General features: G+C 36.6%; 1 protein-coding gene across 12 annotated transcripts in view, besides 2 other annotated features; it reads left to right on the top strand.

Annotated features, from left to right (window-relative positions):
* Positions 1-17,898, top strand: part of DLG2 (discs large MAGUK scaffold protein 2) — a 2,173,362-nt gene that overhangs the window by 147,184 nt on the left and 2,008,280 nt on the right. The gene's annotated exons all lie outside the window — the stretch shown is intronic.
* Positions 7,689-8,585: an enhancer, noted in NCBI's record as "H3K27ac-H3K4me1 hESC enhancer chr11:85183649-85184545 (GRCh37/hg19 assembly coordinates)". NCBI's record gives its function as "activates a minimal SCP1, AML or CMV promoter by ChIP-STARR-seq in naive H9 embryonic stem cells {active_cell/tissue: H9 hESC(naive)}" and the evidence as "EXISTENCE:reporter gene assay evidence [ECO:0000049][PMID:30033119]".
* Positions 9,657-10,376: an enhancer, noted in NCBI's record as "OCT4-NANOG-H3K27ac hESC enhancer chr11:85181858-85182577 (GRCh37/hg19 assembly coordinates)". NCBI's record gives its function as "activates a minimal SCP1, AML or CMV promoter by ChIP-STARR-seq in primed H9 embryonic stem cells {active_cell/tissue: H9 hESC(primed)}" and the evidence as "EXISTENCE:reporter gene assay evidence [ECO:0000049][PMID:30033119]".

Genomic DNA, 17,898 nt, shown 5'->3' with positions numbered 1-17,898 from the left:
GAACATAAACACAAACCTTTCCAGAAGGAAACTGAATGGGGAATTTACAAATGAGAAAACTGAAGTTTATATGATTTTACATATGAAGAAAGTGAGGGAATTTACAAATGAGAAAACTGAAGTTTATATGATTTTACATATGAAGAAAGTGAGGCTGAGATAAGTTGAATAAGTGACTTGCTAAACCCACCCAGCCAGCGAGGCAAAACCAGGATTTCATTACAGATTGGAGTAAATGTAGTCTCTTTGTGCTACACCATCCTGTTTTGCCTATTTTGAAAGAGTTTTACTTAAATGTGCATGTGGTATTTTTTTTGCATGTGTGCAGGATAGTTTAAACACTATTGAAACATGACATTTAGTTTTTTTTCCTGTGTGCAGCTGAAAAAGACAGAACCTTAAAGGCTCCAGAATAGATTCTTTTTATTTAATTGTCACTGAATTTACAGTTCACTTGTTTTTTAATTGACTTGTGTGTGCTTTTGGTAAGAGTACTTATTTCTTGGAGCCTAATTAAGAATTTATATTATTGAATGTTCTGGTGGAAAAATAGTTAACATTTGGGAATTTATTTATTGGTTTAAAAATAGTTAAGTGTGCATATGCTCTCATTACACATGTATATCCATAAACAATATATGTTTTATTTTGCATATTTTAAGTTGCATATAAATGTTATGATGTTGCATTTTTTTGCAGCTCGCCTTTTTTTGTTCAATATCACATCTATGAGATTCATCCTTATGGATACTTGTAGCTCCTGTTCACTTTTTTTTTCTTGCTTCATGGTATATCATTATAAAGACATTCCAGAATGTACTTGTGTTTTCTCCTGTTGATGGACAATTAGGATATTTCCATATTTTGTTTATCATAATGTAGCTAGAATATTTTGTAACTGTTTTTGAGTCACATTTGCCAGTGTTTCTCTAGACTAAATACATAGTTGTGGAATTACTGGATTACAATGTCTATCTTCAGGTTTACTGCATGTTCTCTAAAGTGATTGTGCCGATTTATACTTCCATCAGCAAAGTATGAGATTTCTTTTTCTCCCCATTCCTTGCCAATACTTGGTGTTACCAGACTGAAAAATTATTTGCCAATTTTTTAAGTCTTATGGGCTGTATTGTGTCCCCTCCCCCACAAAATTCATGTGTTGAAGTCCTACCCCTAGTACCTCAGAACGTAATGGTATTTTGGAGATAGGGTCTTTAAAAGAGGTAATTAAATTAAAATGAGGTCTTTAGGGTGGGCCACAATCCAGTATGATTGGTATTCTTATAAGAAGGAGAAATTTGAACAAAGATTTGAACAGAAGACAATGTGAAGACATTGGGAGAAGACAGCCATCTACAAGCCAAGGAGAGAGGCTTGGCACAGATCCTTTCCTCACAACTCTCAGGAGAAACCAACACTACTGATACCTTGATCTCAGATTTCTAAGCTCCAGAACTGTGAGAATAGACATTACTGTTGTTTAAGCTACCCAGGTACTTAATTACTGTAGTTCTCGCAAACCAATTCAATGAATATGAAAAGCGATCTCATTTTGGTTTTAATTTGCATTTTCCTGATAAGTAGAGAGGTTGAGCATCATTTCAAAAGTTCATAATGAATCCGTTTTCTATTTTTTATACTGATTCATAAGTGTTTATATTATTTTAAAGTAATGTTTTTATGGATACTGTTATAGACTTAATGTTTATGTCTTCCCAAAATTCACATGTTGAAACTTAATCTCCAATATGACGGTATTTGGAGGCCTTTTGGAGGTGATAGGGTGGAACCCTCATGAATGAGATTTGTGCCTTTAGGAAAGAGGTCCTAGAGAGCTCCATTGCCCTTTTTGCCATTTGAGGACATAGGGAAAAGACAGCTGTCTTCTAAGAAGTAAGCGGGCCCTCATGAGACAGTGAATCTGCCTTTGCCATGATATTGGACTTCTCAGTCTCCAGAACTGTGAGAAGTAAATGTTTATTGTTCATAAGTCAGAGTCTTTGATATTTTGGTATAGTAGCCCAAATGGACTAAGACAAATGTACTAGTTAAATATTATTGATGCTGACTCCTTTGTTGAATGTATAAATTCCAGTCTTTTATGATTGTTTTCTTTTAAATGATGGTTTTTGATGCAGAAAATTAAAAATCTCATGTAGTCAGCTTAAGAAATCTTTTTCTTCATTGTTTATGCTTTCTATATCTTGTTTACAAAGTTTTTCTGCTCAAAGACCATAAGGGTAACATTTTTATGTTTTCTTCTAAGAATCTTAAAATTTTGCTTTCAAAATTTAGGTCTTAAACCTATTTGGCATTTGTTTTTATGCATTAAGGATTCACAATTTTTGTTGACTTATTTAATTGCTTAAACAACCAAGCACCAATTATTTGTTACATATACTGTGTTCAGAGCAATATATAGAATGCTACAGGAGATAATTCCTTCCCTAAAAGAGAGAGGTAGAACCACCATCATAACAGGACTGTGCCCTACTTACATATTATTATGAAATCCTAACAACAATGGGAGGCAGTTGTTAATTATCTGTATTTTACAAATAAGCAAACTCAGCCTCAGAGTAGTGAAATAAATTGTTCAAGGTCACATAATTAGCAAGTAGTAGAATTGAGATTTGAGCTTTGGTCTTTCTGACAAATTTCACATTGTAGATAAAGCAAAGATAATTGAGAAATTTAGTAATCAAGAATGATAACATAGTAGGTTCAGAAATTTTTTTTATGAATAAATATACTGTGTGTTGGCACAAGACAGTCCTATAAAGATTGTCATCTGAGGGCTTGGAGCAGAGAAAGGGAAGAGGCCACTTAATTCTATTAGAATAATTACACTCTATTGAAAATATTTGGGTCCAGGTGCAGTGGCTCATGCTTGTCATCTCACCATTTTAAAAGGTTGAGGTGGGAGGACAGCTTGAGGCCAGGAATTCAAGACCAGCCTGGGCAACATAGTGAGACCCTCTCTCTACAAAATAAATAAATAAATAAATAAAATAAGTTAGTAGGGCATGGTGACAAAGCCTTTAGTCTTAGTTCCTTGGGAAGCTGAGGCATTAGGATTGCTTGAGCCCAGGAGTTTGAGGCTGCAGTGAGCTATGATCCCATCACTGCACTCCAGCCTAGGTGACAGAACGAAAGCTGTCTCTTAAAAAAAAAAAAGTGCTATTGTTCCACTCAGCCCTCCCAATACCCAACTTCTCCAAGCCAGAGAAACTGTTAGTTTAAATATTTCTACCTGTCTTAATGTGTGCTAAGAACCTTGTGGACAGCAAATGAATAAGAAATATTTTTGAAAGAACAAAAGAAACGCTATGAATACATTATTAAATTAGTGCTAGAGGTAGATTCAAAAATACTTTCTATTGTCCTTATGATGTAATCCTGTCAAGGCTCATGAGATAGTTTGAAATATCTTCCATGTTACTCTTTTTTGGCACTCTGATAGTGTTAAATGACAGAAATAGAATAATTTGGAGCTTTTCTCATAGCATAGAGGTTATTTGTGAAAATGGTATGTTTTAGGTAGAGGCTATCAGCCCTGATTATACATACCCCTACCTAAAGAACATACAGCAATTTAACACAAGTAACTCAGAAACACTAGCCAGAAAAAAGAAATGGTGGCAAAGATTAGATTAGTAAATGTAGAATAACTGTTACCACTATTTATTCTCTAATGTCTGTAATCTTCCGTAGTAGTAGAATACATGGTTATTACCTATGGTCAAGTTCATTGACCATTTCTTTTCTGGTTTTTGTTTTTTGTGTCTCATTTAAGAAATCCTTCTCTACCTTCAAGTCACAAACATGTTCTACTATAGTAAGTTTTGCTTTTCATACCAAGGTCTTAAGTTCATATTGAATTAATTTTGTATACATACGAGGTGTTGGTGTGATTTTATATTTTATCATAAAAATAGCCAGCTATCTAGAAACATGCATGCATTTTTTCTTGTTTGTGTCTTTAAATAGGATGTTCAACATTTTATTATGAAGTACAGTTGTGTGCTCCATAATGACGTTTTGGTGAACAGCCGACTACATGTATGATTATGGTCCCATATGATTATAATGGAGCTGAAAACTTCCTATCAACTAGTGCATTTGTAGCCTTCCTAAAGTTGTAGAGCAGTGCATTACTCTTGTCATTGTATTGATGCTGGTGTAAACAACCTATTGCACTGCCAGTCATTTAAAAGTATAGCACATAAAATTATGTACAGTACATAATACTTGATAAATAATACATGTCACTGGTTTAGGTATTTACCATACTTTTTATTATTATTTTAGAGTGTACTCTTTCCACTTATTAAAAAAAAAGTTAACTGAACAACAGCCTCAGACAGGTCCTTCAGGAGGTATTCTAGAAGAAGGCATTGTTAATCATAGTAGATAACAGATCCATGTATGTTATTGTCCCTGAAGAGCTTTAATTGGGACAAGATGTGCAGGTGGCAGACTATGATACTGATATTCCTGACCTCATGTAGGCCTATGTTAGTGTGTGTTCCTGTGTTTCAGTTTTTAACAAAAAAGTTTAAAATGTAAAAAATTAAAAATAGAAAAAATCTCATAAAATAAGGATATAAAGAAAGAAAAGATTTTTGTATTGCTCTATAATGTGTGTTTGTGTTTTAAGCTAAAATGTAACAACAAAAGAGGCAAAAAGTAAAAAAATTAAAAGATGTGTAAAGTAGAAAAGTTACAGTAAGCTAAGTTTAATTTATTATTGTAAAATAAAATAAATTTAATGTAGCGTAAGTGTACAGTGTTTATAAAGTCTACAGTAGTGTAGAGTAATGTCTTAGGCCTTCACATTTACTCACCACTCCTTTACTGACTCACCCAGAGCAACTTCCAGACTTGACTTGTAAGCCCCATTCATGGTAAGTGCCTATACAGAAGTATCGTTTAAAAATCTTTCATATATTTACTGTACCTTTTCCTTTTCTATGTTTAGATACACAAATACCATTGTGTTACAGTTGCTTACAGTATTCAGTACAGCAACATGCTGTACAGGTTTGTAGCCTAGGAGCGATAGGCTATACCATGTAGCCTAAGTGTGTAGTAGGGTGTACCATCTAGGTTTGTGTAAGTACACTCTATTGTGTTAACAAAATGGCAAAATTGCCCAACGATATGTTTCTCAGAACATATCCCTGTCATTAAACAATGCATAACTATAGATTGTTTGTTAGTAGATACTTTCTTAGATCTTTGGATATTACGTCTATTCGTAGTTTGCTAAGATTTCCCCCTAAAAATAGCAACTGGGACTTGAGAAAGAACATATGTTGTAGTTAAGAGCATGGATGTTGAAATCAGTCTGATTTCAAATCCTGGACTTGCCACTAGTAAGCTGGATGACATTGAGCTTCTCTCTGCCACAGCTTTGTTATTTGTTATTGCCTATTTTGTTAGTCAATGACAATGCCTAATAAGAAAATAAAATGAAAATAAAAATACATCAGACGTTGTTGTAAAGAATAAATAAATTTATAGATGCAGAACTTTGAACTATGGAACACAGCCAGCAGTCTTTATTATTATCTAATAGTATTCTCTTTTGAGATAATTTTGTTAGTTTCTCTTTACTCTGTTGATTGGAAAAATTACAGCAATAGAGTTTATATTAGCAAAGCATCCTTGCTTTCATAGTTTTATGTGGTATAATTAAAAATTACATTGCTAGAAAATATTATTTTATAGAGTTTTGACACATAAATAAAATTGGCATATAATGTTTATTTTTTGTACTCTGGTTGATTTTGGTTTCAAGGTTATATTAGGATAATACATGGGTTAGAATTTAATTTTTTTTCTATTTTTTAGAATGTTTATAGAAGGTAGAGATTAATTTTTTAGTTTTGGTAGAATTGGTCAAACTATCTGGGAAGATTTTTGTTTTGCTCTGTTTTATCTTGGTACAGTTTTGCTACTACTTTGATGTCTTTTTAAGTTTAAATCTATTTATTTCTTCTGTTTCTTTTTAAACTTAAAAAAATTGTATTTATTGTACTTGGTTAAGTTTAAAAAGTTTGCTGTACATTTTTCACTCCCAAAATTTTACATTTATGTATTTCATTTTTCTTAATTATTTTTGCCAGAGGCTTATCTTATTAGTCTTTAAAATTTTTGTAACTTTTTAGAAATTTTATTATTTTCTACTCTTTGTTACCTTTTCCTTTCTATGTTCTTTGATTTTATATTTTTCTGCCTTTTAAATTAGGAACTTTGCTTGTTCATTTTGACAATTTTTCTTTTCTAATGTAAGCATTGAAAGATATAAACTTTTTACTAATACTACTCTAAAACTTCACTGTCAATATGGTAACCATGTGGCCATTTAAATTTAAATTAAATAGAATAAATTAATAAATTACATTAAGTAAATTTTAATTAAATTAAATGAATTAAAACTAAAATTAAAATTAATTCCTTAGTTGTTTTAATCACACTTGATTTTAAAGGCTACCTTATTTGACTGCATAGATAGAGAACAATTTTATTATTGCTGAAAGGTCTATTGGATACAGTTGCTCCTGATCAGCATATCTATAATTGAGAAATGACCTCAAAAGAGTACAGTCTTTTTCTTGATATATTTCATAGGCTGGGTTTTTAAAAGAATTTATTCTCAAATAGTTAGTATTTTAAAATCTAATCCTTTAGAACAGCACAGTTCAATTTTTTCTCTGCTTGATCCATTAATTACTAATGGAAATATATTTTAAAAGCTCACCATGGTTGGAAACTTGTTAATTTTTTCTTGTAATCTTGTTAAGTTCTTGTTTGTGGATTTTGAGTCTATATGATAAGATATATACAGATTCAATTCAAATTTTCATGTCTGTAATTTTTTGCTTATCTATTGAGAGGCTATGTTGTGAAGTAAATACAGTTTCAGGCTTGTTCTATTTTTTTGGTAAATTAGTCTTCTGACTATTACATAAATAGCTTCTTTATCAATAATGATCTTTGCATTAAAGTCTATTTTGGTTGTTAACAATTTAACTATTTTGGTTAATTTTTTTATTTCATCATTTTCACACTTTTACTGCCAGTATTTCTTCATTGTTATACTTTAGGTACATCTGTTGTAAGAAACATAGAGTTGGAGTTTTGTAGTTCAACATGACTATCTATATTTTAAGTAGTTGTTTATTCTGTTTATATTTATTGAGGCTACCGATATATTTGGAATTATTTCTATCGTCTTTTGTGGTTTTTATTTACTATATGTATTTTCCTATACTTCCTTTTATTTCCTTTCTTGCTTTGTATCAGATTGATCAAATTTTCTTTATTCTTTCTTCCTTTTACTGGTTTGAAAGTTGTGACTTCTACTTCTGTTCTTTGCTACCTTTTCATTTTTAACATGCATATTTGACTCAATAAATTCTAAATTTAACCAATATTTATGTATTTTTTTCTACAAGTCTACCTCTAGGGAATATACCTTGTTTCTGAACTGTAGAATACTTTTTCTTTTTTATTTATTCTATTTTTTGATACATTGTATAATATTTTATTTTCACCTTAATTTTTAAACCTTTTAAAAGTGGTCATTATGTTAAAAATTTACATTTATAGTCAATACTTTTTCAGATATACTCATATTTGCTAATTTATTTCTTCACTCTGGTCTCTTCATGTTCAATGTTTTTCTTCATTAAATTTTTTAAAAAATATAGTTCTTTTAAACATATATGCTAATGATAAACATTGCTCTTGCTTGTTTAAAACTGTTTGAAGCTGTTTTTATTTCCTTCTGCTTTTGAATAATTATTTAACTGGGCAAAAGTCCAGAACTGATTATTATTTTCCAACATTTTGACACAGGATTTTTGGGGGGCTGTTTTGCCAGCTGGGGACCTTGTGGCCAATGGTGCCTCTGCTCAAGTTTCACTCAGGATGACTGAGCTAGCTCCGCCCACTCAGCCCAGCAGGCTGTGCTTGGCTTTTGCTACTGGCCTAGATCTCAGGCCCACCAAGGGCAAGCCAGGTGTGCCGGCTACTGCTGCAGGGCAGGCGGCTTCAGGTGCCAGCTCTGTGTGAGGCTGCAGCTAGACCAGACGTACTGCAAGAGGCTTCCATCTTAGACGCCCGTGTCTAGACAAGGGGAAAGCAGTGGTGCCCCCAAAACTTGGAGATGCCAGCAACCACAGAACCCCAAAGGCAGTGTTACAGCATGTCACAGCTCTGGCCTGAGGAGCCCTGAGGTCTGGGCTCCCAGAAGGGTTGCAACTCTTCTCTTCTTGCTTCCAGCAGCACAGTGAATTGGCAGAAGGAGTGGGTTTCAGTTAGTTTGTGTTACAGCTCATTCAGTCCCTTCGCCCGATTCTGGGCTGTGGCTTCTGGGCTGGCCTGGCACCTTGTTTCCTGTTGCATGGGGTGGCTGTCTGGTGCTGGTGGAGTACACGGGGGCTATACTGTTACAGCGGCTCCTTTGGCACCTGCCTTTTGGCGGGTCCCAGATTCTTTTCCCACATTTAAGAATGAGGTTACAAGGATAACCAAAGAGTGAGCAAGGTGGAGAAAATTTTGTTGAGCAACAGAATAGCTCTCGGCTGGGTGTGGTGGCTCACGCCTGGAATCCCAGCACTTTAGGAGGCCAAGGCGGGTGGATCACGAGGTCAAGAGATCAAGACCATCCTGGCCAACATGGAGGAACCCTGTCTCTACTAAAAATACAAAAATTAGCTGGGCTTGGTGGTGTGCCTGTAGTCCCAGCTACTCGGGAGGCTGAGGCAGGAGAATCACTTGAACCCGGGAGGTGGAGATTGCAGTGAGCTGAGATCACGCCTCTGCACTCCAGCCTGGTGACAGAGTGAGACTCTGTCTCAAAAACAAAAACAAAAACAAAAAACAGTTCTCAGTTGAGAGGACCTGAGGTGGGTAGCCCCTACCTGAAGGCAGGTAGTCCCAGCATGTGGCTGAGTCTGAGGTTTTTATGGGCTCAGAATGGGGAGTGTGTGCCAATTGGTCCATGGGCAGCACTGGAAAAAGCATCACTTGATTGGCTAAAAGGCATCAAGGAAATTCTCACCCTGGTCAGGGACTTCACCCAGACTGGCAGCTTGGTTTTCAGGCTTTAATTTGTCTTTGGTTTGAAGGTCGGGTTTCACCAGGGACCCACCCTTGTCTGCCTAGGAATTTGTCTGCCTCCTGCTGTGATCAATTTTGTAGATATTATTCTGTTATTATCTAAAAGTCACATTATGGTTCCTTGTGGGTCTTTTTTTTAAATCTAAGATTGCTTATATAATTCTTTGTCATTGGTGTCTAGGATTTGTCTATTTATTTTTAATTTGGTGTGCTAGTCAACATGAAAAAAATCATGTCTTTTTATCAATTATTAAAAATTTTCTTCCTTTAGCTCATTGATTATTGCTTCTCTCATATTGTTGCTATTTGCTTTCTGGGACTGCTCTTACAAGTATGTTGTGCTTGATCATTCTCACTTCTGTATCTCTTAACCTTCCTTTGGGCTTTTTTATCTCTATCTCTTTGTATTGTATTCTGCATGGGAATCTTATACTAGTTGTTTCTCTTTAGTGTTTCCTAACAGCTTTCAAACTTAAGCCATTGAGTCTATTAATTTCAAATCAAGAATTTATGTTTGATTCTCTTTAAATTTGTCTATTTTTCCTTCATGCTGTCTTGTTCCTTACGTGTTTTGTGCCTCCTTTTATCTTTTAAAAACATTTAAATACCATCATTTTATAGTCCTTTTCAGATTGTTCCCTTTTTTCAAGTTCCTGGGCTGCTCATCCTTCCATTTGATAGGTCGGCTATTTTTCATGGGGGATTATTTTCTTGTGTGTTTTGTGAGTTTAGATTTTAAAATAAGTCTAAAAAATCTATGTTTATATATCTTAACTTGAATATAAACATGAAGTTTCTGAAGCAGAGATCAAAGGTATTATTTCTTACATCAATAACTGCATTCGTTCTTCTTGCCCAATTTTTTCATCCTCTGGAACAATATGGTGAGAGTCTAAGTCATTCTACATGTACCAGGAACTATACTGCAGAAAAGGAACTCTGATATTATGATTCGGGCAGTTTATATAGGATAGTTTAAACATCTGCCATCCTGCCCACCTCAGAGTGAGAGAAACCTAGTCTTTCAAATGTAAATAAGGGAAGAGAAAAGAAGGAGTCCTGGGTACTTACACTTTGCAATGTAAATAAGTGTTGCAAGGCAGAAGATAAGACAGTTGCGTCTGGATTTACAATGCCTGAATGTCTCTGTGTCTTATCCTCCTTTGAAATGTAAACATCCAGGAAGGTATATCTCTAAAAAGTCCTCTCACTGTCTATTCTGTCATCATTTAACTTCCAAGTCTTGGCCTCTAATTTAGCTTCTGGTAAAATTTGCTCAGAAAGCCAGAACCATCTAGTAACATGAAAATATTCTTTTTTATTTTTGGTTGAGACAGAGTCTCACTCTGTCACCCAGGCTGGAGTGCTGTGGCATGATTTTGGCTCACTGCAACTTCCGTTTCCCAGGTTCAAGTGATTCTCATGCCTCAGCCTCAGCCTCAGCCCCCTGAGTAGCTGGGGAATGCAACACCATGCCCAGCTAACTTTTATATTTTTAGTGGAGATGGGGTTTCACCATGTGGGCCAGGCTGGTCTCGAACTCCTGATCTCAAGTGATCCACCTGCCTTGGCCGCCCAAAGTGCTGGGATTACAGGCATGAGCCACAATACCTGGCCAAAAATATTAATTTACTCACTATAATATCTTCAGTGGAACTCTTCTCCTTCTCACCCCTACCCCAACTGTGCAAATCCTTTGTGGCCTAGCTCATAAAAATTGTCATCCAAAATGATTTTGCTATGGCTTCTTCTGAGTGTCCTAGTGATATCAATGGGCCAGGGTTTTTTGTTTTTGTTTTTTTTTCTATTTTAAATGATTGGGGGGATTTTTATTAAAAAAAAAAACCAAGTAGATTAATTTGGTTTTCATGTCTTTCTGATTTTTCACCAAAGTTACTTTTTTTTTTTTTTACATTGTTGGTATCTAGGGAGAAAATATTCTAGGCAGAAGGAACAGCAAATGCAAAAGCTTGGTGAGATTGTCAGAGGAACAGTGTGGATGGATAGGAGTGAGTGATGGGGATAATAGTAAGAATGAAGAGGAAGTAGAAAGGTAGGCAGATCTTGTAGAGCCTTGTAGGCTAAAGTAAGGGCTTTGGATTTTACTCTGAGTGAAATGGGAAACTACTGGAGGCCTTGGAATAGAGGAAGGGCATTATATGAGTTTTGATTTAGGTGGGTCATATTTACTGCTTGTGTTAAGTTATTTAGATGGATAGCTGGTAGGATCATCATATTCAATACTGATTCCCTTCAACTGGCCTCCTAGACTAGAAATTGGCTTCTTTTAGAGCTCCCTGGAAAACCAAATACTTAAGGCAATCAATTCTGACAGGATGCTGAAATGGCGAAGTAGATCACTGGTCTGTCACATCATAAATAAGAACTACAAACCTTGTATGCGAATCCACTGACCACACCAGGTGAAAGGCTGTTGTTCCTTTAACTGAAGGATGCCAACGTGGTGGAAGAGGACTGAAGATCAATTTTGGCCATGACATAATTACTACAGTTGGATGCCTCTGTGATCATACCAGAGTAGTTTGGTGTTTCCCTCATTAGGTAGCTTAAAAGCCCTACAATCCAATGGCTGGAGTTTGATGTTCAGTCCCATTAGATCCTTTTTTGTTATTTCAGAATTCAGTGGGCAAAGGTGAACTTACACATATGCTACTATTTGTTTTGCTATGCAGTTCTCTCAATAAATACTGTAGCAGAAAGTCTGATATCTGATTGATTTTATTTGCACAACAAGGAGCCAGAGTTGGAATGAGTAGGAGCAAGGAGACCAATAAAGTGGCTCTTGAAATCACTCAAGTGAGAAATGATAGCTCTTTTGACCAAAGTGGTAAAGGTGGTAAGAAGCAGTCATATTTGAGCTATATTTAGAATGAGGAGCTGATAGGACTTGCTGATGGATTGGATATGAGAGAAATAGAACAGTGATAATACTTTCATGGTTCTTGACTTGCCCGATTGGAAGAATCTAGGTTCCATTTATTGAGGTAAAAGAGTACGTGCACTCAATAAACATATATTGAATGGAGTAATAAAGGAAAGAGTGAAACCACCTTTGCAAGATTATGTCAGAAATCTGACAGGCAGGGAACAGTGGCTCATGCTTGTAATCCCAGCACTTGGGGAGGCCAAGGCGGAAGAATTGCTTGAGCCCACAAGTTGAAGACCAACTTAGGCAATGTGGTGAGACTCCATCTCTATAAATATTTAAAAAAAATTAGACATCTACAGAACTCTGCACCCCAAATCAACAGAATATACATTCTTTTCAGCACCACACCACACCTATTCCAAAATTGACCACTTATTTGGAAGTAAAGCACTCCTCAGCAAATGTAAAAGAACAGAAATTATAACAAACTGTCTCTCAGACCACAGTGCAATCAAACTAGAACTCAAGATTAAGAAACTCACTCAAAACCGCTCAACTACATGGAAACTGAACAACCTGCTCCTGTGTGACTACTGGGTACATAACGAAAGGAAGGCAGAAATAAAGATGATCTTTGAAACCAATGAGAACAAAGACTCAATATACCGGAATCTCTGGGACACATTCAAAGCAGTGTGTAGAGGGAAATCTATAGCACTAAATGCCCACAAGAGAAAGCAGAAAAGATCTAAAATTGACACCCGAACATCACAATTAAAAGAACTAGAGAAGCAAGAGCAAACACATTCAAAAGCTAGCAGAAGGCAAGAAATAACTAAGATCAGAGCAGAACTGAAGGAGATAGAGACACAAAAATCCCCTCAAAAAATCAATGAATCCAGGAGCTGGTTTTTTGAAAAGATCAACAAAATTGATAGCCTGCTAGCAAGACTAATAAAGAAGAAAGGAGAGAAGAATCAAATAGATGCAAAAAAAAAATGATAAAGGGGATATCACCATCGATCCCACAGAAATACAAACTACAATCAGAGAATACTATAAACACCTCTACACAAATAAACTAGAAAATCTAGAAGAAATGGCTAAATTCCTCAACACATACACCCTCCCAAGACTAAACCAGGAAGAAGTTGAATCTCTGAATAGACCAATAACAGGCTGTGAAATTGAGGCAATAATTAATAGCCTACCAACCAAAAAAAGTCCAGGACCAGATGGATTCACAGCTGGATTCTACCAGAGGTACAAGGAGTTGCTGGTAGCATTACTTCTGAAATTATTCCAATGAGTAGAAAAAGAGGGAATCCTCCCTAACTCATTTTATGAAGCCAGCATCATCCTGATACCAAAGCCTGGCAGAGACATAACAAAAAAAGATAATTTTAGGCCTATATCCCTGATGAACATCGATGCAAAAATCCTCAATAAAATACTGGCAAACTGAATTCAGGGGCACATCAAAAAGCTTATCCACCATGATCAAGTGGGCTTCATCCCTGGGATGCAAGGCTGGTTCAACATACGCAAATCAATAAATGTAATCCAGCATATAAACAGAACCAATGACAAAAACTACATGACTATCTCAATAAATGCAGAAAAGGCCTTTGACAAAATTCAACAACCCTTCATGCTAAAAACTCCCAATAAATTAGGTATTGATGGGACATATCTCAAAATAATAAGAGATATCTATGACAAACCCACAGCCAGTATCATACTGAATGGGCAAAAACTGGAAGCATTCCCTTTGAAAACTGGCACAAGACAGGGATGCCCTCTCTCACCACTCCTATTCAACATAGTGTTGGAAGTTCTGGCCAGGGCAATCAGGCAGGAGAAGGAAATAACGGGTATTCAATTAGGAAAAGAGGAAGTCAAATTGTCCCTGTTTGGAGATTACATGATTGTATATCTAGAAAACCCCATCGTCTCAGCCCAAAATCTCCTTAAGCTGATAGGCAACTTCAGCAAAGTCTCAGGATACAAAATCAATTGCAAAAATCACAAGCATTCTTATACACCCATAACAGACAAACAGAGAGCCAAATCATGAGTGAACTCCCATTCACAGTTGCTTCAAAGAGAATAAAATACCTAGGAATCCAACTTACAAGGGATTTGAAGGACCTCTTCAAGGAGAACTACAAACCACTGCTCAAGGAAATAAAAGAGGATACAAACAAATGGAAGAACATTCCATGCTCATGGGTAGGAAGAATCAATATCATGAAAATGACCATACTGCCCAAGGTAATTAATAGATTCAATGCCATCCCCATCAAGCTACCAATGACTTTCTTCACAGAATTGGAAAACACTACTTTAAAGTTCATATGGAACCAAAAAAGAACCCACATTGCCAAGTCAATCCTAAGCCAAAATAACAAAGCTGGAGGCACCACGCTACCTGACTTCAAACTATACTACAAGGCTATAGTAACCAAAACAGCATGCTACTGGTACCAAAACAGAGATATAGACCAATGGAACAGGACAGAGCCCTCAGAAATAATGCCACATATCTACAACGATCTGATCTTTGACAAACCTGACAAAAACAAGAAGTAGGGAAAGGATTCCTTATTTAATAAATGGTGCTGGGAAAACTGGCTAGCCATATGTAGAAAGCTGAAACTGGATCCCTCCCTTACACCTTATACAAAAATTCATTCAAGATGGATTAAAGACTTACATATTAGACCTAAAACCATAAAACCTTAGAAGAATACCTAGGCAATACCATTCAGGACATAGGCATGGGCAAGGACTTCATGTCTAAAACACCAAAAGCAATGGCAACAAAAGCCAAAATTGACAAACAGGATCTAATTAAACTAAAGAGCTTCTGCACAGCAAAAGAAACTACCATCAGAGTGAACAGGCAACCTACAGAATGGGAGAAAATTTTTGCAATTTACTCGTCTGACAAAGGGCTAATATCCAGAATCTACATACAGTGAACTCCAACAAATTTACAAGAAAAAAACAAGCAACCCCATCAAAAAGTGGGCAAAGGATATTAACAGACACTTCTCAAAAGAAGACATTTATGTAGTCAAAAGACACATGAAAACATGCTCATCATCACTGGCCATCAGAGAAATGCAAATCAAAACCACAATGAGATACCATCTCACGCCAGTTAGAATGGCAATCATTAAAAAGTCAGGAAACAACAGGTGCTGGAGAGGATGTGGAGAAATGGGAACACTTTTACACTGTTGGTGGGACTGTAAACTAGTTCAACCATTGTGGAAGTCAGTGTGGCGATTCCTCAGGGATCTAGAACTAGAAATACCATTTGACCCAGCCATCCCATTACTCGGTATATACCCAAAGGATTATAAATCATGCTGCTATAAAGACACATGCACACATATGTTTATTGTGGCACTATTCACAATAGCAAAGACTTGGAACCAACCCAAATGTCCATCAATGATAGACTGGATTAAGACAATGTGGCACACATACACCATGGAATACTATGCAGCCATAAAAAATGATGAGTTCATGTCCTTTGTAAGGACATGGATGAAGCTGGAAACCATCACTCTCAGCAAACTATCGCAAGGACAAAAAACCAAATACCACATGTTCTCACTCATAGGTGGGAATTGAACAATGAGAACACATGGACACAGGAAGGGGAACATCACACACCAGGGCCTGTTGTGGGGTGGGGGGAGCGGGGAGGGATAGCATTAGGAGATATACCTAATGTTAAATGACGAGTTACTGGGTGCAGCACACCAGCATGGCACATGTATACATATGTAACAAACGTGCACATTGTGCTCATGTACCCTAGAACTTAAAGTATAATTAAAAAAAAATTAGCCAGTTGCAGTGGCTATGAAGTAGTCACAGCTACTTGGGAGGCTGAGGTGGGAAGTTTGCTTGAGCCCAGGAGTTTGAGTTTCCAGTGAGCTATGATTGTGCCACGACAATTAACCCTGGGTAACAGAGAAAGACCCTGTTTCAAAAAAAAAAAAATCTTATATTGTTGACTCCATCTTGCTTCTTTTTTTTTTTTTTTTTTTTTTTTTTTTTTTTTTTTTTTTTTTTTTGAGGCAGAGTTCTGCACTGTTGCCCGTGCTGGAGTACAGTGGCACAATCTTGGCTCACTACAACCTCCACCTCCTAGGTTCAAGTGATTCTCCTGCCTCAGCCTCCCAAGTAGCTGGGATTACAAGTTCCTGTGACCATGCCCAGATAATTTTTTGTATTTTTAGTAGAGACGGGGTGTCACCATGTTGGCCAGGCTGGTCTCAAACTCCTGGCCTTGTGATTCACCTGCCTCGGCCTCCCAAAGTGCTGGAATTACAGGTGTGAGCCACCGCGCCTGGCCTCAATCATGCTTCTGACCCCCAAGCTGTCTTCCCAAACTAAACTGCCTTTGTAAAAATCTAATGAAAGGCCACAACATTAGGATTATGATAAGGGCCTGAATTCTGCTAAAATGGGAATAGTTTCTATAATCCTTTACTGCCCAGGGGTCATGTGACCAGAGGTCACAAGATTTGTGACTATTCCAATTGTTCCTATAGATAACTTTGCTGTTATAGTACCTAAGATTGTTTTTTTGAAATATCTTTCAGACTGATGCCACCCGAACTTGTGACCTGTAACTCAGCTGATCCTGTGGCTCCACCCAGAGGTGGACTAAGCTCACAGGGAACATTTTCCATACCATTATGATTTCATCCCCAACAATCAGGAGCACCCCTTCCCTTGCCCCATGCCCACCAAGTTGTCCGTAAAAACCATAACCTCCAAGCCTTCAGGGAAACTGATCTGAGTGGTAACTCCAGTTCTTCTGTGAGGGCTGGTCTCACAGCAGTTAAACTCTCTCTCATGCAATGCTGTGGTCTCAGTGGATTGATTTTGTCTGTGCAGCAGGCAGGAAGAATCCATCTGGTGATTACAAAATGCATAGAATATTTTAGAAGAACATGTATAAGTACAAGATTCTGCACCATGATGTAGTGTTGGAAACTAAACTTAAGTTTCAGATAGAAAGGGATTGTTTTATCACTGTATATCTGGCAAATGATATAGCACCTTGTATATGATACAACCTACCCTTCTCCCCTTTCAATCTCTCTCTCTCGGGGGGCGTGTGTGTGTGTGTGTGTATGTGTGTGTGTGTGTACATGTATGTCTATATGGTGCATAATATATATTAAATAGTACAGTATATTAAATTCATAGTATAGTGCTTGCTGTGTAGTAGCTATCTACAAAGGTAGTAGTGTCTGCCATTGATATAATTCTAAATGCTCTCCTTTGTCACATTCAGTCCTTGACACAGTTCTCTCTCATGTACTCAATACCAATATCTGACGAGGTTTTTTAAAATTTTTAAATTTTTAAACAAGGTCTTTCTGTGTTGTTCAGACTAGAATGCAGTGGCATGATTATAGCTCCCTGCAGCCTTGAACTCCTGGGCTCAAGTCATCCTCCCGCCTTAGCCTCTGAAGTAGCTGGGATTATAGATGCACACAACCATGCCTGCCTAATTTAAAAAAAATTTTTTTATAGACTATGTAGCCCAGATTGGTCTCATACTCCTGGCCTCCAGCAGTTCTCCATTCTTGGCCTCCCAAAGAGCTGGGATTACTGGCACAAGCCACTGCACCCATCCCAAGTTTTTTTGGTAATTCATTCTACACATTTCTTATTTCTATTATCTTCCTTTTATCTCTCCTTCTTCTTGTGTGGTGTACTAACCTATTGTGAATCTTTTGATGCTTTCTGTTTTCATAGACATTTTCTGCTAAGGATATTTCAAAATTCTGAGGATTATTCAAGAAAAATACAGTATTGCCTAGTTTTCTTCTGATTGAACT

This window comes from Homo sapiens, chromosome 11 (genome assembly GCF_000001405.40).
Source record: "Homo sapiens chromosome 11, GRCh38.p14 Primary Assembly".
Classification (NCBI taxonomy): Eukaryota; Metazoa; Chordata; class Mammalia; order Primates; family Hominidae; genus Homo; species Homo sapiens.
Note: the sequence above shows the minus strand (reverse complement) of the source record. Positions and strands in the feature narration are given on the sequence as shown.